The sequence below is a fragment of the Homo sapiens genome, chromosome X (genome assembly GCF_000001405.40).
Source record: "Homo sapiens chromosome X, GRCh38.p14 Primary Assembly".
NCBI classification, from domain to species: domain Eukaryota; kingdom Metazoa; phylum Chordata; class Mammalia; order Primates; family Hominidae; genus Homo; species Homo sapiens.
The window spans coordinates 68,326,643-68,343,072 of NC_000023.11; the positions used below are offsets into that span (position 1 = coordinate 68,326,643).

The 16,430-nt window shown below is 40.9% G+C and overlaps 1 protein-coding gene across 7 annotated transcripts in view; it reads right to left on the bottom strand.

Moving 5' to 3' along the window:
• OPHN1 (oligophrenin 1) overlaps positions 1–16,430 on the bottom strand; it is a 391,498-nt gene that overhangs the window by 284,299 nt on the left and 90,769 nt on the right. The window contains exon 1 of one of the 7 annotated variants that reach the window (XM_047442144.1): positions 8,601–9,052. The exons of the other annotated variants lie outside the window; for them this stretch is intronic. The gene's annotated coding sequence lies outside the window, so the exon portion shown is untranslated. Of the gene's footprint in view, positions 1–8,600; positions 9,053–16,430 lie in introns of those variants that run through there. 7 annotated transcript variants of the gene reach the window in all.

Below are 16,430 nucleotides of genomic sequence, written 5' to 3' on the forward strand. Positions count from 1 at the left end.
AAGTGAGGAGCCCTCCGTCTGGCAACCACCCCGTCTGGGAAGTGAGGAGCGTCTCCGCCCGGCAGCCACCCCGTCCGGGAAGGACGGTGGGGGGATCAGCCCCTGCCTGGCCAGGCGCCCCGTCCGGAGGTGAGGGGGCCTCTGCCCGGCCGCCCCTACTGGGAAGTGAGGACCCCTCTGCCCGGCCAGCCGCCCCGTCCGGGAGGGAGGTGGGGGGGGTCAGCCCCCCGCCCGGCCAGCCGCCCCGTCCGGGAGGGAGGTGGGGGGATCAGCCCCCTGCCTGGCCAGCCGCCCCGTCCGGGAGGTGAGGGGCGCCTCTGCCCGGCCGCCCCTACTGGGAAGTGAGGACCCCTCTGCCTGGCCAGCCGCCCCGTCCGGGAGGGAGGTGGGGGGAACAGCCCCCGCCCGGCCAGCCGCCCTATCCAGGAGGTGAGGGGCGCCTCTGCCCGGCCGCCCCTACTGGGAAGTGAGGAGCCCCTCTGCCTGGCCAGCCGCCCGTCCGGGAGGGCGGTGGGGGGGTCAGCCCCCCGCCCGGCCAGCCGCCCCATCTGGGAGGTGAGGGGCACTTCTGCCGGGCCGCCCCTACTGGGAAGTGAGGAGCCCCTCTGCCCGGCCACGACCCCGTCTGGGAGGTGTGCCCAGCGGCTCATTGGGGATGGGCCATGATGACAATGGCGGTTTTGTGGAATAGAAAGGCGGGAAGGGTGGGGAAAAAATTGAGAAATCGGATGGTTGCTGGGTCTGTGTGGATAGAAGTAGACATGGGAGACTTTTCATTTTGTTCTGTACTAAGAAAAATTCTTCTGCCTTGGGATCCTGTTGATCTGTGACCTTATCCCCAACCCTGTGCTCTCTGAGACATGTGCTGTGTCCACTCAGGGTTAGATGGATTAAGGGCGGTGCAAGATGTGCTTTGTTGAACAGATGCTTGAGGGCAGCATGCTCGTTGAGAGTCATCACCACTCCCTAATCTTAAGTACCCAGGGACACAAACGCTGCGGAAGGCCGCAGGGTCCTCTGCCTAGGAAAACCAGAGACCTTTGTTCACTTGTTTATCTGCTGACCTTCCCTCCACTATTGTCCTATGACCCTGCCAAATCCCCCTCTGCGAGAAACACCCAAGAATGATCAATAAAAATAAAAAATAAAAAAAATAAAAAAAAAAAAAAAAAAAATTTTAAACTTTTTTTTTTTTTTTGAGACGGAGTCTCGCTCTGTCGCCCAGGCCAGACTGCGGACTGCAGGGGCGCAATCTCGGCTCACTGCAAGCTCCGCTTCCTGGGTTCACGCCATTCTCCTGCCTCAGCCTCCCGAGTAGCTGGGACTACAGGCGCCCGCCACCGCGCCCGGCTAATTTTTTGTATTTTTAGTAGAGACGGGGTTTCACCTTGTTAGCCAGGATGGTCTCGATCTCCTGACCTCATGATCCACCCGCCTCGGCCTCCCAAAGTGCTGGGATTACAGGCGTGAGCCACCGCGCCCGGCCAAACTTTTTTTTTTTTTTGAGACGGAGTCCCGCTCTGTCGCCCAGGCTGGAGTGCAGTGGCGCGATCTCGGCTCACTGCAAGCTCCGCCTCCCGGGTTCACGCTATTCTCCTGCCTCAGCCTCCAGAGTAGCTGGGACTACAGGCGCCTGCCACCACGCCCGGCTAATTTTTTGTATTTTTAGTAGAGACAGGGTTTCACCATGTTAGCCAAGATGGTCTCGATCTCCTGACCTCGTGATCCGCCCACCTCGGCCTCCCGAAGTGCTGGGACTGCAGGCGTGAGCCACCGCGCCCAGCCAAAACTTTTAAACTTTTAAAAGAACACAAGAAAACATCTCTAACTTCAGCATAGGAAAGAATTTCTTAAATAAGATGCAAAAAGTACAAGTAATAAAGGAAAATAAATATATTTTAACAGTTAAAAACTTCTGCATGACAAAAAATACAGGAAATAAAATGAAAGGAGGATAAAAATTAACAGTATAGTTGACTTTGGCAATGGGGAATACTAGGAATAGGGGAAATTATTTGTAACATATATAACAAATAAAATACTAACTTCTAAAATATAGAAAGGACTCTTATAAATCAATAATGAAGACCAAAAACCCAAAAGAAAAATGGGCAAATACTACAAAAATAAGCACGTCACAAAAAAGAAAATATGAATGGCTAATAAACACATTGTAACATACTCAATTAGTAGTTAGGAAAACAAAAATTAAGGAATAATGAGATACCATTTCACATCCGTCAGATTGGCAAAATGTTTAAGGTCTGGCCATTTCAAATCTTTTTATTTTTTGAGATGGAGTCTCGCTCTTGTTGCCCAGGCTGGAGTGCAATGATGCGATCTCAGTTCACTGCACTCTCCGCCTCCTGGGTTCAAGTGATTCTCCTGCCTCAGCCTCCCAAGTGACTGGGATTACAGGCGCCCACCACCACGCCCCGCTAATTTTTGTATTTTCAGTAGAGACGGAGTTTCGCCATGTTGGCCAGGCTGGCCTTGAACTCCTGACCTCAAGTGATCCACCCACCTCAGCCTCCCAAAGTGCAGGGATTACAGGTATGAGCCACTGTACCCAGCCTCAAATCTTAATGATGTGAACAAATGGATAAAGTGGATAGTCTTATATTTGTTGGTGTAAGTATAAATGTGTATAAGCACTCAGGAATACAATTTGGAAATATCTGTAGTATTAACAATGCTCATAATCTGAGTAACTCTTGCACACTGCCCAGGAAGGCATAGATAAGGATGTTCATTGGCATATTATGGGAAATAATGAAATATTAGAAATAGCCTACATGCCCATTTATAAGTAAATGAATAAATAAATATGTAGTATATAGTAGGATTGAATGTTCCCAGTTGCTGAATAGGAAAAGGCTTTTCCATTCTTCCTTTTCTTAGAGCATTTCCTCAAGAAAAGGTTATTACAAAGCCACCTTCTATCTTTTCTATAACTATGCAAATGTTCTAAAGAGCTAAATAAGCCTCTTGCCAGCATGACCACCTAATATTTTTCTTAAGGACCTGGGGATCCATCTCTTTGAAACATTAACATCAAGATAAATATACCTCTATCTCCTTGTTACCTCAGGGAGTTTAGCTTAGGTACCTTGCTTTAAATCTTAAATGCCTGCTGGGCATATAGACAAGAGAAGTTATATTTTTTTCTTTGGATAAAGGCAATTAGCTAACATATGGCCACCTCAACTACAAGGTGAATATTGCCTGAACTATGTAAAATAAAAGTGCTGTCAAATCTAACTGGAGGGCAAGTTATGCTTTATATTGAGAACACATATGTAAATGGATCATATATTCTTGCCTATGTAAAAGTGTGACATTTCTTTCTATGCTTACAGTCTCATTAGTGTATTACCTGTCATTCACATCCCCGTCTGATTTAATGCTTTCAGTAACACAATGGTTTTCTTTCTTTTCCTTTCTTCTTTTTCTTTTTTTTTTTCTTCCTTTTTTTGAGACAGAGTTTCACTCTGTCGCCCAGGCTGGAGTGCAACAGCAAGATCTCGGCTCACAGCAACCTCCACCTCCTGGGTTCAAGCGATTCTCCCGCCTCAGCCTCCCGAGTAGTAGGATTACAGGCACCCACCATCATGCCCAGCTAATTTTTGTATTTTTGTACAGACAGGGTTTCACCATGTTGGCCAGGTTGGCCTCGACCTCCTGACCTCAGGTGATCTGCCTGCCTCAGCCTCCCAAAGTGCTGGGATTACAGGCATGAGCACAGCGCTCGGCCAGTTTTCTTTCTTTTCCACATTTGTGAAAAGGATTTTCTAAGTTAGCAAGAGATTTAATTTTTAATTTTCCCAACAATATTCATAACAGAAGTGTCCTAGTGAGTATTATAAGTTAATGAATCCCAGCATGGCAACAAGTGCCTTTAGTTCCAGCTACTTGGGAGGCTGAGGCAGGAGGATCATTTGAGCCCAGGCGTTCGAGCCCAACCTGGGCAACATAGTGAGACTCTGCCTCTTTAAAAAAAAAGTGAAGAATGAATTATATCTATATACTGTATATCAACATGAAAATATCTAAAATTCGAAAAAGAACAATGCTAAGTGGAAAAAAAAACAAGTTGAAGTACATATAGTATGATTCCACTTGTAAAAAAAATTTAAATATACAAAACATTTCCAGCACAAATATATATTTATATCTCTATATAATATTCATAGTATCTATAAATATAAGCATTTATATATTTATATAACTAAAATATTTAATATAACTATTAAATATAGATTTATTAAATATATTACATATTAATATATTTAAATATATATTTGGCATGCATTCTTCTTGGCCATGTTTTCTATTCCATATATATAGACACAAACAACAAATGTATACATCTAGTATATATCTAATATATATCTCATATATAATATACATAAGATGTATAATTCTGTAAAAGTATACTTATATAATGTACATAAAATTATATATATAATTTATATAGTTATGTTTATATAATTTATGTAAAATTATATTGTACTTGTATAATTTATATATGATTATATACAATATAGTACATAATTATATAATAGTTATATCTTATAATTATAATGTATTGTATTAATTATATATTAGTAGATATATGTATTAATATATAATTATATTACATAATGATTATAATATTATATATAAACAGAAAACATTGCCAAGAAGGATAAATACCAAATTCAGCATTGTGGCTGCCCTTGGTGAGAGAAAGTAATAAGGACTGGGGAAAGAGGTAAACGCAGATTTCACTATCTCTATGTTTTACTTAGAAAATGAGATCGATCTGGGCCAGGTGCGGTGGCTCAAGCCAGTAATCTCAGCACTTTGGGAGGCCGAGGTGGGTGGATAGCTTGAGGCTAGAAGTTCGAGACCAGCCTGGCCAATACGGTGTAACCCAGTCTCTACTAAAAAAACAAAATCAGCTGGGTATGGTGGCAGGCACCTGTAATCCCAACTACCTGGGAAGCTGAAACACATGAATCACTTGAATCCACCAGACACAGGTTGCAGTGAGCCAAGATCGCACCACTGCATTCCAGCCTGGGTGACAGAGCTAGACTCTGTATCAAAAAAAAAAAAAAAAAAAAAGAGGCCGGGTGCAGTGGCTCCTGCCTGTAATCCCAGCACTTTGGGAGGCTGAGGCAGGTGGATCACGAGGTCAAGAGATCGAGACCAATCTGGCCAACATGGTGAAACTCTGTCTCTACTAAAACTACAAAAAAATTAGCTTGGTGTGGTGGTGCATGCCTGTAGTCCCAGCTACTGGGGAGGCTGAGGCAGGAGAATCACTTGAACCTGAGAGGCAGAGGTTGTGGTGAGCCGAGATCGCACCATTGCACTCCAGCCTGGTGACACAGTGAGACTCTGTCTCATAAATAAATAAATAAATAAATAAATAAGAAAAAAGAATGAGAACGATCTGAAGCAAACATGACAGAATGTTTATCTTGAGGACATGTGTACACAGTGTCTATTTTATGACTCTGTGCTTTTAAATTTGCATTAATAATGATGATGATGAAAATAACTAGCTTTTTGCTGTGTCTCCTGTGCTCTTTCCAAGGCAGAGAACTTTTTTTTTCATTTCCAACATGACGTTTGTGGCAGCAACTGGCAGTTAAGCATTCACTAGCAGCTGGGGTTAGAGACATGGTGAGAAACCCAAAGAAAATGTGAAAATCTGGCACCCAAATAGGCGCCTGGTGTTGCCAGTGCTTATTGCTTGCTGTGACTTTTGAAGCTTGTATTGGATTCCAAGTTCAGAGTGATGACTTTTGGGAGAATTCCACCTTTGTGATCCGTTCTTAAAGTTATCACCAATAGTTAAGAACCTGGCCACAGCCGAGGGAAAGGTTATACCACTTGGGTATTTAATCTGCCTTGGAGACTGCAGAGCTTCCTGGGTCCTGTTTAGACTTATTAACATCTGAAAAGCTTGCCTTTTTCAAATTTGCTGAATACTGAGCCTTTCCTCTGATTCCCAAGGGAAAACTCCAGTTCTTTTTGGCAGAGCCTCTGCTAAAGACTCAGCCTTTGAGAGAACAAAGCAGGAGATTTCTGGGCCAAAAAACGATAGGGGGAAAATCTTTATAACCTCCCAACCATTTCTATTACCTCTAAATGATAATTTATGGAAATTAAAAAAAAAAAACAGCAAAGAGCTTAAAGCCTTCAAACCATAGGAACACAGGCTGCTACTGTGCCTGTACACGAATCTTCAGTAAATAAAGCAAACAGATTCTGCTGCCTGGATGCAGGAATAATAGAAAATGGGAGCTAATTTGTTTCTTTAGTGCCAAGATAACAATATTCTTCAGAAACTGACCACTCCATCACTAGCTAGCCTCATTCAAATTTACAGAGAAAGGAACCGAAACACTAAAACTTCAAGTTCACATTCTAGCCCCTGTTAAGCCATAGTATATATAACGGTGGCCATAAAATGCATGCAAAAATAAATAAATACTTATTTTTTTAAAAAAAGGCCAGGCGTGGTGGTTCATGCCTGTAATCTTAGTACAGGCAGGAAGATCACCTTAGGCCAGGAGTTTGAGACCAGCCTGGGATACATAGTGAGACCCCCATCTCTACAAATAATAATAATAATAATAATAATAGAATGCATGCAAATGTCATATAATGTAATAATATTCATCCAATAAGATTAGTGGTTTAAAGCACACACACATGCGGCCGGGCACGGTGGCTCACGCCTGTAATCCCAGCACTTTGAGAGGCCGAGCAGGCAGATCACCTGAGGCCGGGAGTTTGAGACCAGCCTGGACAACATGGCGAAAACCCGTCTCTACTAAAAATACAGAATTAGCTGGGCATGGTGGCACATGCCTGTAATCCCAGCTACTCAGGAGGCTGAGGCAGGAGAATCACTTGAACCCGGGAGGCGGAGGTTGCTGTGAGCTGAAATCGCACTATTGCACTCCAGCCTGGGCAACAAGAGTGAAACTCCGTCTCAAAATAAATAAATAAATAATAAAGCGCGCGTGCGTGCACACACACACACACAGACACACACACACACACACACACGCACCTCCATATATGAAATGGCTGTGACAAAACATCAAAATATTCTCATGCACAGTGAGTACCTCTCTATTGGGAAGCAAGTGTTATTAATTTCAGAATAAAACCCGTGACTTCTGAGAGCTCCTAATCACACTCTTAAGGACCAATGTTGGCAGGGAAGTTTTCTCTAATTTCAAATGAATTTTTTTTTTTTTTTTTGGGTTGGGGGAGCCAGAGTCTCTCTCTGTCCCCACGCTGGAATGCAGTGCATCATCTCGGCTCACTGCAACCTCTGCCTCCCGGGATCAAGCGATTCTCATGCCTCGGCCTCCCAAGAAGCTGGGACTACAGGCATGCGCTACCACACCCATTTAATTTTTGTATTTTTAGTAGAGATGGGTTTTCGCCATGTTGTCCAGGCTGGTCTCAAACTCCCAGCCTCAAGTGATCTGCCCACCTGAGCCTCCCAAGGTGCAGGGATTACAGGCATGAGCCACCATGCTGAGCTGTAACAGCATGTTTTAAATAGACTAAGGTAAGAATTATATTTTAAAGATTTTATTTCTGTAAAACCACTAATTTTAAAATAGAAAGATTAAAGTACAATCCAGTAAGGAAGTATGACTTCCCCTAAGTCAAAGAAGTAACTAGTTTAGTGTAAGAGCTAAGTGTTAACATGCTTTAGCTACTGATATGACAGGACAAGATTTTGAGCTTTTGTTGGTGAGGAGGTGGGAGAATGCAACAAAATGCTCTTAGTATTTTAATATACACAATTTTTCTCCTAGCTCTCCTGTGGATTTTGATGCAGTTTGATCTTTGTGTACTTACATTTTGATATCGATGAATTTCCATATAGTTAGACTTTGATGCAGCTGGATTGATGTTGAATTTCAATGTATAAATTCCAATACAATTCAAAAACTAAATTGGATTTCTAAATAATTATTTCACTACATGTAGAGTGGTTATGAATTAAATAAAATAATAAATATGAAATTCCTGGCTGGGTGCAGTGCCTCAGACCTGTAATCCCAGCACTTTGGGAGGCCAAGGTGGAAGGATCCCTTGAGTCCGGGAGTTTGAGACCAGCTTGGGCAACATGGTGAAACCCCATCTCTACAAAAAATACAAAAATTAGCCAGGCATGGTGGTGCATGCCTGTAGTCCCAGCTACTTGGGAGGCTGAGGCAGGAGGATTATCTGAGCCCAGGATGCAGAGGTTGCAGTGAGCCAAGATTGCACCATTGCACTCCAGCTTGGGCGACAGAATAAGACCCTGTCTCAATTAATTAATTAATTAATTAATTAATAGTTCCTGTCCCAGAAGAGATGCTTAATGAATTGTACTTCCCTTGCTCACAATGACTCCTTGTGTGTGCCTACATGCTTCGCAGTTTACAAAGGGGCTTTGACATAAGCGCTCTAGCCTCACAACAACCATGTGAGTTAAGAAAATGCAAATATTCTTCCTCTCCTTAAAAAAAAAAAAGCGGGGGGGTGCTCAACGAAGATACGTTAGGTGCCCAAAATAACTGGTCATTTATACATACCTCTCCAAGACTAATGAGAAGTCCTCGGACCCCAAAGCCCACAGTTCTCTTTCTCTATGCCAGTGGTTCTCAAACTTCACAGTGCAATAGAATCACATGGAGAGATAGAGTTTGTTAATACACATACTGCTGTGTCCTTTGCAGGAATGTCCATTGCTGATTCATTCCACGTAGAGTGGTGCCTGAGAATTTGCAATGTTAACATTTTACCAGGAGATGCTGATGCTGTTTTTCTAGGGACAAACTTTGAGAACCACAGGCCTCTGTCAGACTGATATGCTACGAAGGTGTGGTCTAACATGAACTACGAAATCTATCCACAGTGTCACACGATGTGAGAGCTACATGAGACCTTGGAAATCATCTAACCCTGTGGTTATAGTCCTTGGTTTATTATCAGAATTTGCTGGGCACGGTGGCTCACGCCTGTAAAATCAGCACTTTGGGAGGCCAAGGCAGGTGGATCACTTGAGGTCAGGAGTTAGAGACCAGCCTGGCAAACATGGTGAAACCCCATCTCTACTAAAAATATAAAAATTAGCTGGGCACGGGTGGCGTGCACCTGTAGTCCAATCTACTTGGGAGGCTGAGGCAGAAGAATCACTTGAACCCGAGAGGTGGAGGCTGCAATGAGCAGAGATCATGTCTCTGCACTTTAGCTTGGGCAAAAGAGTAGACTCCGCCTCAAAAAAATAAAAATAATAACATGGTACAATTTTTTAAACTACCGTTGCCTAGGCTCCACCCTCAAAGATGCTGATTTTCATTGTATAAGTTGAGACCCAGATTCTAGTGAGAGAGTCCTCTGCTAGTGGACTCACAAGAAATACTGAAGGACTTCTTGAATCTCAAAGCAGTTGACCACAGAGAGTAATTCAAATTCACATAAAAAACTGAGATCTCTCTTTCACAGAAATGCTTGCTAAAAAAGTAATTAATTAATTTTTTTAAACTGAGATGTCTTGTAAAGGAAATTTTATAATTATAAAAGACAGTATAGGCCAGGAACAGTGTTCACGCCTGTAATCCCAACACTTTGGGAGGCCGAGGCAAAAGGATTGCTTGAGCCCAGGAGTTTAAGACCAACCTGGGCAACAGACTGAGACCCCATCTCTACAAAAAAATAAAATAATAAAATTAATTAATTAATTAATTTAAAAAATTAGCTGGGTGTGGTGGTACACACCTGTAGTCCCAGCTACTTGGGAAGCTGAGGTAGGAGGATTGTCTTGATCCTGGGAGATCAAGGTTGCAGTAAGCGAAGATCACACCATCATACTCCAGCCTGGGCAACAGGGCAAGACCGAGTCTCAAAAAATAAAAAGGAAAAAGACAGTATAAACATATGTATCTTCTTCTTTCTTCTCTTAACCGATGTAAAAGGCAATTATATTAAACTCTATGTGTGTACGTGTGTGTGTGTGTGTGAGAGTGTGTGTGTGTGTGTGTGTGTGTATTTCGGGGCCCATGGCTAAAAAAATTTATTTTCCAATATGATCACAGAAGTGGATTAAAGCAAAGCTATTATGGGCCAGGCGTGGTGGCTCATGCCTGTAATCCCAGTACTTTGGGAGACCGAGGTGGGAGGATCACTTGAGGTCAGGAGTTTGAGACCAGCCTGGCCAACATGGTGAAACCCCATCTCTACCAAAAATACAAAAAGAAAACATTAGCTAGGCATGGTGGTACGCATCTATAATTCCAGCTACTCGGGAGGCTGATGCAGGAGAATTGCTTGAACCCGGGAGGGAGAGGTTGTGGTGAGTCAAGATCACACCACTGCACTCCAGCCTGGGTGACAGAGTGAGACTCTGTCCCAAAAAAAAGAAGTAAGAAAATGACACAAAATGGTAACATGAACCCACAAAAACAAATGAAAAGAACCAGAAATTGCACCCAAAAATGTTACTATAACAAATGCTATAAAGGTACACTTGTTCCCTTCCTTCAACTTTTTTAAAAAATTGTTTCTGTATGTTCATTTTTGTCTTTTTCAATTTTTTTCCCATTCTTACGCATCAACTTCTTTAAAAGTTACAAAAACCTCTAGGATAATTATTATAAAAACGTATTGTTCGATTTTTAAATATTATAGATAAAATATGTATAACAATAACAGCACCGAATGCAAAATAAAGCAGTTAAGGAGGAATATAGCAACGAAAAAGCATGAGACAAATTTTTAAACCACAATGGCAGATGTAAATCCACCTATGTCAATAGTAACATTCAACAGAAATACATTAAACAATATAAATTTGTTTAAGTGCAAAACTTAATTTTTGGTTTTTTTTCTAAAGACAAGGTCTACGTTGCCCAGGCAGGCCTCAAAATATTGACCCCAAATGATCCTCCTGCCTTAGCTTCCTGAGTTGCTAGGATTACAGGCATGAGCCCCCACAACCAGCTAAATTTTTTTTAAAGAGACAACTATATGCAGTCTACAGGAGACACATCTCACATTCAAAGACACAAATATGTTAAAAGCTAAGTATGAAAAAGATCAGAAACCTGGAGTGGCTATATTAGAATAGGACAAAATACACTCCAAACCAAAAAAAAAAAAAAAAGACAATGGAAATCAGGAGAGATATTTTATAATGATACGAGTCAATCCATCAAGAAGATATAACAATTATAAACATGTATGCACATAACATCAGAGCATCAGAGCCCAAAATACATAATACATAAAATAAACAATGACAAAATTGAATGGAAAAATAGACAATCCAACAATAGACATTGAAGAATTCAACGATTCACTTTCTTTTTTTTTATTTATTTATTTTTTTTAGAGACAGAGTCTCACTGTGTTGCCCAGGCTGGTCTTGAACTCCTGAGCTCAAGTTATCCGCCCACCTCGGCTCTTCCCAAAGTGCTGGGATTACAGGCGTGAGCCACCACGCCCAGCCAGTAACTCACTTTCAATAATGGTTAGATCTAGATAGAAAATCAATACTTCAGAAATATAAGACTTCAAAAATATGAAAAGCTAACAAGACTTAACAAACATCTATAGAACACTTCACCCAACAATAGCAGAATACACATTCTTCTCACGTGCACTAATAAAATTATCCAGGATAGATTATATGCTACTTCATTAAACAACCATCAATAAATTTGAAAGAACTGAAATCATAAGAAGTATGTTTTATGGCCACAGGAATAAAATTAGAAATTAATAACAGAAATGTTAAGAAATTTACAAAGATATGGAAGATGAACAACATGCTACTAAGCAGTAAATGGGTAAAACAATAAATCACAAGACAAATTAGAAAATATTTTCAGATAAATGCAAAATAAAGACACAACATACAAAAACTTCCCAACTCAGTCTGTAAGGCCAGTATTACCCTAATATAAAAATTAAACTAACCACAAGAAAATAAGTCTAAATACAAAAGTCTGTTATAAATATTAAAACAACACCTTCAACAACAACAAACAGCAAACTGATTCCAGAAATATATAAAAAGGACTCTACATAATGACAAAGTGGAATTTATGCCAATAATGCAATGTTGCTCCAACATACAAAAAATTCTGGGCGCAGTGGCTCACGCCTGTAATCCCAACATTCTGGGAGGCCAAGGCAGGAGGATCCCTTGAGCTCAGGAGTTCAAGACTGGCCTGGGCAACATGGTGAAACCCCATCTCTACTAATAGTAAAAAAAAAATTAGCCAGGCATGGTGGCACAAGCTTGTAGTCCCAGCTATTCGGGGAGCCAAGGCGGAAGGGTCACTTGAGCCCAGGAGGTCAGGGCTGCAGTGAGAGCCCTGATTGTGTCACTGCACTCCAGCCTGGGCAACAGTGAGACCCTGTCTGAAAAAAAAAAATATATATATATATATATTTATATATATATGAAAATTAATGTAATATACCACATAAATAGAATATAAGAGAAAAACCACATGATCATTTCACCAGATGTAGATTAAGTAATTGACAAAGTCCAAAATCTTTCTTTATAAAAACATTCAACAAACTAGGAACAGAAGGAAATCTCCTCCACCTCATAAAGAAAATCTATGAAAAACACAACAGCTAACCTCATACTTAATGGTGAAAGACCGAATACTTTCCCCATGATATCAAGAAGGAGACAAGGATGTCTGCTTTCACCAGTTCTAGTCAACACTGTACTAGAGATTTGAGCCAGGACACAGGCAAAGAAAAGAAGTGAAAAACATGCAGATTGGAAAGGAAGAAATAAAACTATTTGTATATGCAGATGACATGATCTTGTATACAAAACAATCTAATGGAATCCAGTTTTTAAAAAAACTATTAGAAGTAATAAATAAGTTCATCAAGGTTACAGAATATAAAATCAATACAAACACAAATGTATTTCTTTTTCTTTTTTTGAGACAGTCTCACTCTGTCACTCAGGCTGGAGTGCAGTGGCAGAATCTCAGCTCGCTGCACCCTCTGCCTCCCAGGTTCAAGTGATTCTCGTGCTTCAGCCTCCCAGGTAGCTGGAATTATAGGCATGTGCCACCGTGCCCAGCTAATTTTTATATTTTTAATAGTGACAGGGTTTCTCCATGTTGGCCAGGTTGGTCTCAAACTCCTGACCTCAAGTGATCTGCCCGCCTCAGCCTCCCAAAGTACTGGAATTATAGGCATGAGCCACTGCACCGGGCCACAAATTGTATTTCTATACACTAGCAATAAACAATGCAAAAATAAAGAACACTGTTTCACGTACAATGGTCTGAAAAATAATACTTAGAAATGAATTTAACTAATTAATGCAAACTTTGTATACTGGAAACTACAAAACACTGGTGAAAGAAATGAAAGAACACCTAAATAAATGGAAAGACATTCCATGTTCATGTATCAGAACACCTAATGTTGTTAAGATGGAAATATTCCCTCAAATTGTTCTACGGATTTAACTGCAATGTCTAACAAAATCCCAGCTGTCTTTCTGGCAGAAGTTGACATGGTGATCTGAAATTCATATGGAAATTAAAGGGACCAAAAATAGTCAAAACTATCTTGAAAAAGAACAATGTTAAAGAACTCACACTTCTAAATTTAAAACCTTACTACACAGCCACAGTAATCATGACTATGTGGTCTTGGCATAAACATAGACATATAGATCAATAAAATAGAATTGGGAATCCAGAAATAAGCCTACACATTTGTGGTCAATTTATTTTCAAAAAAATGTCACAACAATTCAGTGGAGAGAGAACACTGTCTTTAACAAATGGTGCTGGCACAAACATATTACCTGCAAAAGAATGAAGTTGTACCTTACCTCATACTACACAAAAGTTAACCCGAAATGGTTGACAGACCTAAATACAAAATCTAAAACTATAATACTCTTAAAAGAAAACATAGGGATAAATCTCTTGACCTTGGACTAAGCAATGATTTCATAGGTATGACACCCAAAACACAAGGAACAAGAGAAAAAAAAATAGTTTTAAAAATGAAGAACTGGCCGGGCACCACTGTGGGATCACACCTGTAATCCCAGCACTTTGGGAGGCCAAGGTGGGTGGATCACCTGAGGTCAGGAGCTTAAGGCCAGCCTGGCCAACATGATGAAACCCTGTCTCTACTAAAAATACAACAAATTAGCCAGGCATGGTGGTGGGTGCCTGTAATCCCAGCTACTCGGAGAGGCTGAGGCAGGAGAACCGCTTGAACCCGGGAGGTGGAGGTTGCAGCGAGCCGAGATCACACACTCCAGCCTGGGCAACGAGAACAAAACTCTGTCTCAAAAAGAAAAAAAAAAAAAGAAGAAGAACCACCACCATGTGGCCTGCCTCACATCAATTAAACATTTTTTTACTGCAAAAAAAAAAAAAATGAAGTTGTAATAGAATTAAAATATCACCATTGTGCAACCCATAATTAAATAGCATATCTAAGCAATAACTGCTAAGACCATTAGGTGAAAGAAAAGCTGATGGGAAATTTCAAAATGCAAGGATCAAGCTGAAAACCCCTACAAACACTGATGAATCTTAAGATCACAGAAAATAGAAGAAGATAACCAGATATTATGAACCTCCTATATCAGGCAATATAATACACACACTTTCAAAAAAAAAAAACCCTAAACCTAAATCTGATCAAACATCCAGATCTATATTTTTCCTATAAACATATAGGAAACAGGGGAACATGTAAAATGACAACATGATTATGCGATCAGTAAAATGTAGAATATGGCAAACTCTATAGGTCAAACTACCAATTTATTCAACAAGGAAATTGTAGAAAGAAAAAGGAGGTGGCATTTTTAAAACAGATTTAAGAAACATATTGGCAGGGCATGGTGGTTCACACCTGTAATCCCAACACTTTGGGAGGACAAGGTGGGTATATCACTTGAGTTCAGGAGTTCAAGACCAGCCTGGGCAACACAGGGAAACCCCGTCTCTACAAAAAAATATATAAAAAATTAGCCAGGCATGGCGGCACGAGCCTGTAGTCCCAGCTACTCAGGAGGCTGAGATGGGAGAATCACTTGAGCCTGGAGGTCACTGCTGCAGTGAGTCATGATCGTGCCACTGCACTCCAGCCTGAGTGACACGGCCAGACCCTATCTAAAAAAAAGAAAAAAGAAAAGAAATATATCAATCTGGCACAATGTATGAACTCTGAATCCTGATTTTCAAATTTAAAAATTTGCATATTTATTCTTTATTTGATTATTAATGAAAAAAAGTTAATTTTTGGTGTTTTTTTTTTTTTTTTTTTGAGACACAGTCTCACTCTGTCATCCAGGCTAAAGTGCAGCGGCACAATCTCCACTCACTGCAGCCTCAACCTCCCAGGCTCAAGTGATCCTCCCACCTCAGGCTCCTGAATAGCTGGGACCACAGGTGTGCACCACCATGCCCGGCTGATTTTTCTATTTTTTTGTAGAGAAGGGGTTTCAGCATGTTACCCAGGCTGGTATCAAACTCCTGGGCTCAAGTGATCCACCCACCTCAGCCTCCCAAAGTGCTTGGATTACAGGTGTGTGCTACCACGCCCAGCCAAGAAAATATTTTAAATTGCCTTAGGTGTGATAAAGGATTGTGGTATGGTTTCTCTATGTTCTTATTTTGTGAGGTAAATACAAAAATGTAATATGTTATTTGAGACTTGCTTCAAAATAATCCAATGGGAAAAGGGAAAATAGGTAGGTATACAGATAAAACAAAAGTGGCCATAAATTGATAACTGTTGAAGAGGGGTTGATGGACACATCAAGTTCATCATACTATTCTCTCTACTTTTATGTTTGATATTTCAAAATAAAATGTTTTTAAAAATAAATGAATACAAATATATACAATAAAAATTAATTACACTCAAAAAGTAAAAGAAAGCAGTAACAAAAGATCACATGTGGTTTGATTCCATTTATATGAAACAGACAATTCAGGCTGGATGTGGTGGCTCCCATCTGCAATCCCAGCACTTTCAGAGGCCAAGGTGGGAGGGTCGCTTGAACCCAGGAGTTTGAGACCAGCCTGGGCAGCATGGTAAGATACCATCTTTATAAAAAATAAAAAATTAGCCAGGTGCAGTGGCACAAACCTGTAGTCCCAGCTACTCAGGAGGCTGAGGCAGGAGGATCACCTGAGCCTGAGAGGTCAAGGCTGCAGTAAGACAAGTTTAGGTCAATGCACTCTAACTTGGGTGACAGAGTGAGATCTGTCACGAAGACGAAGAAGAAGAAAAAAAGAAGAAAGAAGAACGAAGAAGAAGAAAAGTCTGGGTGCAGTAGCTCATGCCTGTAATCCCAGCACTTTGGGAGGGCGAGGCAGGTGGATCACCTGAAGTCAGGAGTTCGA